The following is an 8,970-nucleotide window of genomic DNA, read 5'->3' as shown; positions in this document are numbered from 1 at the left end:
AAATGGAAAACAATTAATTTTAGACTTTTTAAAGTATTCATGTTAAAATAGCAAGAGTAATCAACAAAAGCATAGACATAAAATATGTAACTTTGAAATAAGTAGAGGGAAAAATTGAATTAAAAAAATGGAAAAAAGCTTAATTCAAAATAAGTCAAGAAAATAAGAGTAGGAAAATTAAACAGAAAATAGAACAAATAAAAGGCACATATGAAGAGGGTAGGAATAAATCCAAACAGATTAGTAATTGCTGTAAATCTAAATGGATTAAATACATCAATTAAAATATCAAGGATTATCAGAGTGAATAAAAGAACAACATTGTTTTAGTCAATTTTTTGTGTTGCTATAAAGTAATACCTGAGGCTGGGTAATTTCTAAAGAAAATAAGTTTATGTGGCTCACAGTTCTGCAGGATATACAAGAAGCAAGGTGCCAGCACCTGCTTCTGGAGAGGGCCTCCAGCTGCTTCCACACATGGCAGGAGCTGGTGTGTGCAAAGATCACATGGTGAGTGAGGGGAGATGCCAGGTTCTTTTTAAGTAAGTACCAGCTCTAACAAGAACTAATAGAGTGAAAATTCACTTATTACTGTGAGGATAGCACCAAACCATTCATGAAGGATCCATCCCCATGACCCAAACACCTCCCACTAGGCCCCACCTCCCAACACTGTCACACTGGAGATTAAATTTTGACATGAGATTTAGAGGGGTTAAACACACCATATCCAAACTATAGCATTTCAACCTTGGCCCCCAAATCTTATGTCCTTCTCACATACAAAATACAATCACTCCATCATAATAGTCTTAATTTGTTCCAGCACCAACTAAAAAGTCCAAAGTCCAAAGTCTTATCTGAGACTCAAGGTAAGTTTCTTATAGCTGTGAGCTTGTAAAATCAAAAACAAATGATTTACTTCCAAGTCTACAATGTTGAAGCAGACATTGGGCAAACACTCCTATTCCAAAAGGAAGAAATTGGCCAAAAGAAAGAGGTAATAGACCCCACACAAGTAACGTAAATCTTATAGCTCCAAAATAATCACTTTTGACTCTGTCTCACATCCTGGGTACACTGGTTCAAGTGCTCCTGAGGCCTTAAGCAGCCCTGCCCCTGTGGCTTTTCTGGGCACAGCCCATGTGGCTGCTTTCATGGGTTTGAGTCTGGTACTTGCAACTTTTCCAAACTAGGATGACTCACTACCTGTGGCTCTATAATTCTGAGGTCTGGAGGGCAGCAGCCCTGTTCCCACAGCTCCACTGGGCACTGCCCTGGTGGATATTCTCTGTGACAGCTCTGCACATGCAGTAGGTTCCTGCCTGCACTCCTAGGCTTTCTAATACATCGTCTAAAATCTAGATGGAAGCTTCCAAGCCTCCGTGGCTCTAGCATTCTGTGGACCTGCAGACCTAGCACCATGTAGATGCTGCCAAGGCTTACATCTTGCACCCTCCAGAGTGATGGCCCAAGCAGTACCTGGGACCCTTTGAGACTTGACTGGAGCTGGAGGGGTGGGAATGCAGGGAAGCAGCCCTCCTAGCCTGTTCTCTGAAACCATTCTTTCCTTTTAGGCCTCTGGGCCTGTGGAAGGGGAGGCTTCAAAGATTTCTGAAATCTTTTGGGGCCCTTTTTCCATTGTACCAACTATTAGCACCCAACTCCCTTTTATCTGTGCTAATCTCTCTAGTTAGTTGTTGCCCATAGTACCCTTGGATTGCTCTACTTAAAAATCCCTGTTCTTCTCTAACACATAGCCAGGCTGTGAATTTTCCAAATTTTTATGCCCCGCTCCCCTGTTAATTATTAATTCCACCTTTAGGACACTATTTTGCTGCCACATCTGATTGTAAGTTGTTAAAAGCAGCCACACTACTTCTTGAATTTCTTGCTGTTTAGAAATTTCTGCCACCAGAAACCCTAGGTCATCATTCTTAAGTGTGGCCTTCTAAGAAGCCCTAGGGTATGGACACAATACAGCCAAGTTATTTCCTGTGGCATACATGGGTGGTTTTTGATCCAATTCCCAATAAGTTTCTTCTTTCCATCTGAGACCTCCTCTGCATGGCCTTTACTACCTGTTTCTTTGTTTTTTTCTTTTTTTTCGAGATAGGGTCTCACTCTGTCACCAAGGCTGAGTATGGTGGTGCCATCATGGCTCACTGCAGCCTTGAACTCCTGGGCTCAAGCAATCCTCCCACCTCAGTCTCTAAAGTAGGTGGGACTACAAGCATGTACCACCATGCCTAGCTAATTTTTTAACTTTTTTTGTTTTGTTTTGTAGATACAGGGTCTTGCTATGTTGACCAGGCTGGTCTAGAACTCCTGGCCTCAAGCAATCCTACCACCTCAGCCTCCAAAAGTGCTGGGATTACAGGTGTGTGCCACTGCTCCCAGCCTAATGCTTATATTTCTATCAACATTTTGTTCACAGTCAATTAAACAATCTCTAAGAAGTCCAAAACTTTCCCTTGCCTTCCTGTCTTCTTTTGAGCCCTCCAAATTCTTTCAGCCTCTGCCTATTACCCAGCTCTAAAGCTACTTCCACATTTTTAGGTATCTTTATAACAACACCTCATTCTTGGTACCAGTTTTTTGTCTTAGTCTGTCTTTGTGTTGCTTTAAATGAATGCCTAAGACCGGATAATTTATGAAGAAAAGAGTTTTATTTGACTCAAAGTTCTGCAGGCTGTACAAGTAGCATGGCGCCAGCATCTGCTTCTGGTGAGGGCCTCTGGCTGCTTCCACTCATGGCAGAAGATGAGGGAAGCTGGCATGTGCAGGGATCACATGGTGGGAGAGAGGAAGCAAGAGAGAGAAGTGGGATGGAGGTGCCAGCTTCTTTTAAAGAACCAGCTCACATGGGAACTAATAGAGTGAGAAGTCACTAATTACCAGGATTCGTGACGGATTTGCCCCTATAACCCAAACACCTCCCATGAGGTCCCACTTCCCAATACTGACACACTGGGGATTAAATTTTAACATGAGATTTACAGGGAAAACACATCATAATCCAAACTATAGCAAACATTCAGTTGTATAGTGTTCATAAGATAAATATCTTCATTTATATTTCAATGTAAGGATACAGAAAGACTGAATGTCAAAGAACCAAAAAAATTACTACTAGGCAAAAACTAACCAAAAGAAAGCTGAAGTCGCTATTTTAATATCGGATTTTAAAATTTAGGGTGAAAGGATTACAAGAGATAAATAGAGTCATTTCATAATGGAAAAAATAAATTAACCAGCAAAATATAGCAATTTTAACATATTATAATGAATACTTATAATTTTATGTTGCCTCGGAATCAACCCCTGGGTGAGTTTTCCCTGGGATTCCTGGGGGAACACAAGGTTGTGCTCCCAGCACCAAAGTGATGGTCAGGCAGGCATAAACTGAACACAGGTCAGACAAGAGCCACAGGGGCATCTGCCAGTATAAACAAGTTTCTCTGTGAGGGATGCCCTGTTCACAGGTTGAACAACTAGGCATTAGGTCTTCCACGAGGTTAAAGAAGTATCCCCTGAAAGACACACTGTAAATACCCATGTCCAGCTCTTCTTCATTTCCCGTTGGAGCAGGGCTGCTAGCCACTGTGGCACTGGAACCCCAATTTAGCTGAAGACTCTCAAAACAATTTTTTAACAAAATTTGACAAATCAACAAGGAGGAATTAGTAAACTCTATATCACAGTGGGAGATTTTAATACATCTTTCTTAATAACTGATAAATCAAGCAGAAAAATATTGTTAAAGATATAAAAGATTTGAACAGCATAATTAACAAGCTAGGATAACAGACATATATAGACAATTCCAGCAAACAATCAGAGAATATACATTATTTTCAAGCACATCTGGAACATATGTAATCATTGTTTAAAGTTAGTTTAAACAAATTTCAAAGATTGGTAACATATCACACCAACTTTTCTAATTACAATTAACTTACAAATCAGTCTAAAAATATGACTACAAAAATTCCATTTATGGCAACGTAAAACAATATTATAAAATTTACAGGTGAAAAATCATAATGAAAACTAGATTTGGAACTGAATACTTAGAACTGAAAGATAATTAAAATTCTACATATCAAAACTCATGGGATTAGCCAAAGTGATATTAAGGGGGAAATGAATAGACTTAAAAGCTTTCACACTAGAAGGAAGGCTCAGAATTAATTAGCCAAACATTTGATTTGATAAATTAGAGAATGAATATCAGAATAATCCTCAAGAAAGCAGAGGGGGGAAATAATAAAGATATGAATACATGTGAATGAAATATAAAACAAATATATAATAACATCAACTAAGTCAAGAGTTGTTTCTTTGAAATAACTAATAAAATAGAAAAACTTCTAGCAGGGTCAATCAAGGGAAAAAAGACATATAGAACAAATACACATTTTGGAATAAAAAGTGGGAAACAATTACACATGCTGCAAAGATTAAAAAGATAATATGCAAAACTCTATGTCAATACATTTGAAAACCTGGACTTAAAATTGGACACAGTCTTTGAAAAAATGAAATTTGCTAAAGGAAAATTTCTAGCAAGGGTCAATCAAGGGAAAAAAAGATAGGTAGCATAAATATACATTTTGGAATAAAAAGTAGGAAATAATTACAGATGCTGCAAGGATTAAAAAGATAATACGAAAAACTGTATGTCAATACATTTGAAAACTTGGACTTAAAATTGGATATATTCTTAGAAAAGATGAAATTTACTAACAGTAACTTAAGAATAGAGAATTCAAAAAGTCTTCTAACCATAAAGGAAAAAAATGAGTCAATACTTAAAATTACTCCCACAAAGAAAATACCAAGTCTGCTGTACTTGAGAGGCTAGTTCTTCTGACAATTCAATGAAAATATTGTTCCAATATTAGCTAAACTCTTCCAGAGAAAAGGATATTAGTAACACTCCCCAGGTTATTTTGGTAACAAACCTGACCAGTATTATATAGGAAAGGGATATTACAAGTCAGACTCACTCATGATTATAGATGTAAAAATTGTAAACAAAACATTTGCAAAGTAAGTTCAGCAATGTATAAAAAGATAATGAATATTTACCAAGTTGGGTTTATTCCAGGATAACAAGGTTATTTTGGAGAATTAAGTAACATAACTCATCATATTACCAGGTTAAAGAAAAAAAGCAAAAACTCACAATCATCTTAATAATACGGGAGACATATTCAATAATATCTAACATTAATTTATGATTTCAACAAACAGCCTCTTAGCTACCTAGGAGTAGAAGGGGCTTTCTTATAACTGATAAAGAGCATCATATCAGTAACTACAGCAGACATCATACTTACTGGGGAAATACTGAAACTATTATTTCCTTTAAGATAAGAAACATGACAAAGATATCTGCTATCACAAGTCCTGTTCAGCATTATGCTGGAGATTCCAACCAGTGATGTGAGACTGAAAAAAAAAGAAAAATTACAGAAAAGAAATAAATGGTAATTATTTGAAGCTTGTGCATTATATTTTATATCAGTTATACCTCAATAAGGTAGTGAAGAAAACTTTCTGCCCTGATCCTGACTTAACCTGAGCCAATTCAGCCTTACATATTTAAACTAACACCTCCAATATTGAGGTAGAAGTGACCCTAATAGAAGGAGACCACGGCCCAGGCATTCCTACCCATGTGCCTCCCTTTCTGGGAAAATGGCCCCAACGGAGGTTGAGGTGAATTACTCAATATATGTGTTAGTCTGTTTTGCATTGCTCTAAAGGAATATGTGATACTGGGTAATTTATAAAGAAATGAGGTTTAATTGGCTCACGATTCTGCAGGCTGCACAGGAAGCATGATGCTGGCATTGGCTCATCTTCTGGTGAGGCCTCAGGAAGCTTTCAATCATGATGGAAGGCAAAGAGGGAGCTGGCATATCACATATTGAAAGCAGGGGCAAGAGTGAGGGGCGGGGGAGGTGTTACACTCTTTTAAACAACCAGATCTCACATGAATTCAGAGAGAAAACTTACTCATTATTGCGAGGACAGAACCAAGACATTCATGAGCGATCCAACCCCATGTCCAAACACCTCCCACCAGGCTACACCTCCAACATTGGGGCTTACATTTCAACATAAGGTTTAGAGGGGACAAACATCCAAAGTATATCAGTGTAGGAACAGGAACTGCCGGCAATCAAGGCTATCTTTGAAGCATGAGGGTTTCTGTACCTATAATGGTATAGCACAACCTGTGCATCATCTTACTGTTGAAGCAAAGCTAGAAGCTCAGTTTTGCCAGATGAAATGGCACTGTTCTAGTAAAGGTAGAATTTTCACATCCACTGTGTCTCATTGAGAAGATGCCCAATTATTTAAGTCTGGATGCAGCCAGGGCTTCACCCCAAGAGGTCCTCTGGCCTGTGAGCTTTACTGTCATTAAGGTCAGGTGCACCTGACTGAGGAAAGGGAAATGGACAGCAGGCAAATGCCTCTATGCTGGAACACTGGCTAAGGGTCCAGAATATTCTAATGTAAGGGAGATAGAAAGGCCAATGCTAACTATACAAAGGCATTATGTCCTGGTAGGAGCATTGACTCAGCTACAGTGGCCTATTCAAAACCTTGAACAAAGAATGCAGGGACTTATGGTGGCCCCATATCTGTCACAATGACACTTAGTATACAAGCACTTGGAGCACTTGTACTCTAATCAAGAATAGATCTACAAGGATCAACAGATTAATATACCCATTACCAATCCTCGAACACACCCTTGACACCATTGCTATGGATTGATCACAAATCTACTCCCTGTTTCATAATCACAACACTCTTTTTGTTGTAGAGAATACCCTTACCAGAAAGCCATTGCAATTGGCAGCACAGCATAGTGATTAAGGGAATGGCCTTTGGAGCCAGACAGCAGACGCTTGAATCTCAGGTCTCTCCTTTATTAGGTGTGATCTGGTGTAAGCCACTTAACCTTCTGAAACCTCATTTCCTATGAATATACTAAAAACGATTTACTTGCACTTTTTAAATGTGTGAATTGTATGTTATATACATTATATCTCAATAAAGCAGTATATATATATATGTATATGTATATACATATATATGCAGCATAAAAAGAAAATGCCCCTTCACAATAGTCTGTGCCCACCTTCCTCTTCTTTTTGTAGGAAGTCCGATATGTGTCATTCCAGATCATTTAAATAAGTTTCATACGTATGTATAACTATACAAATAAATGATTTTACTTAGTCTTAGGATGACATTGTGTATTTTTTCTGCAGTTTTCTTTGTTAGTCTACCTATGAAGCTCAGAATTCTTTTCATGTCAGTGCACATAGCTCGCATTCATTTTAGCTGTTGTATTATATAGATCAATGTTATATGGATGATGATGGATGAATCATAGTTTACTCACCACTTTTCTACTGGTGGACACATAGATTGTGTTCACTTTTGCTGTTACAAACAATGTTTTAGTAAACAACTGTGTACATGCCTATTTGTGCACAAGAGCAGATACTTTTCTAGGAAAAATACAGTATTTACAAAGGGCATGCTGTATTGAAGAATAAAGTACATTTACACTTTTTTTATTTTGTCAAATTGCCCTTCAAAAGGGCATCTCAGATTACATACAAGAGAACAACTTATACAAGTACAAATTGCTCCTCACCCATTGGCCATTTTTTAGTTGAATTGTTTGTTTTCTTATTATAGAGATTTGAGAGTTCTTCATATATTCTGGACACATGTCATTCCTCAGATGTATTATTTGCAAAGATTTTTTTCCCAGTCATTCTCTGAAGAATGTTTTTTGAAGAGTAGAATTTTAAATATCAATGACTATTATATTAATTTATTCTATTATAGATTATGCTTTGGACATTGTATCCAAAAATTCTGTCTAACTCAAGGTCACAAAACTTGTCTCCTATGTTTTCTTTTAGAAATCTTACCGATTAAGACTTTATATTTAGGTTTGTTATCCACTTTAAGTTAACTTTCGCATATATTTTGAGGTATGAATTGAAGTTCATGTTTTTGCATGTGAATATCCAATTTTTTCAGTACTGTTTGTTAAAAAGACTGTCCTTTCTCCACTACATCACCTTTGCAAAGTATCAGTAATCTATATATGTGTGGATCTGTAGGTCTATATCTGGACTCTCTATTCTGTTCCATTGACCTATTTATCTTTCTTTTTTTTGAGACAGGGTCATGCTCTGTTGCCCAGACTGGAGTGCAGTGTCAGGATCATGGCTCACTGCAACCTTGAACACCTGGACTCAAACAATCCTCCCACCTCAGCCTCTTGAGTAGCTGGAACCATGGGTGTGTGCCACAGTGCCCAGTTAATTTTTAAATTTTTGTAGAAACGGGGTTATGCTATGTTGCTTAGGTTGGTCATGAACTCCTGGCCTCAAACTACCTGGCCTCAAACTACCTCAGCCTTCCAAAGTGCTGGGATTACAGGTGTGAGCCACCATGCCTGGCAGATTTATTTATCTTCATACCAATACCATATTGCTTTCATTACCATAGCTTAATAATAAGTCTTGAAATCAGATAGAGATAGCCCTCTAACTTTTTTCTTTTTCAAAGGTGTCTGGCTGCACTATGTCCTTTAAACTTCTGTGTGAATTTTAGAACCAGCTTGGCAATTTCCATAAACAAGCCTGTGGGGATTTTGATTAGAATTGCATTTCATATATAGATCAATTTGAAAAAGGCTGACACCTTAACAATATTGAGACTTCAAACCGATGAAGAAGGTATACTCTAGTTTTTCTTCACAATGTTTTGTAGTTTTCAGTGTACAAGTCTTTCCTATCTTTTGTCATATTTATCTCTAAGCATTTCATATTTTTGTGTAACTATAAATGGTATCTTTATTTTCTTTTGTTTTGTATAACTTTTATTTCAGGTTCAGGAGTATATGTGCAGGTTTGTTATATA

Source organism: Homo sapiens, chromosome X, assembly GCF_000001405.40.
Source record: "Homo sapiens chromosome X, GRCh38.p14 Primary Assembly".
NCBI classification, from domain to species: domain Eukaryota; kingdom Metazoa; phylum Chordata; class Mammalia; order Primates; family Hominidae; genus Homo; species Homo sapiens.
Note: the sequence above shows the minus strand (reverse complement) of the source record.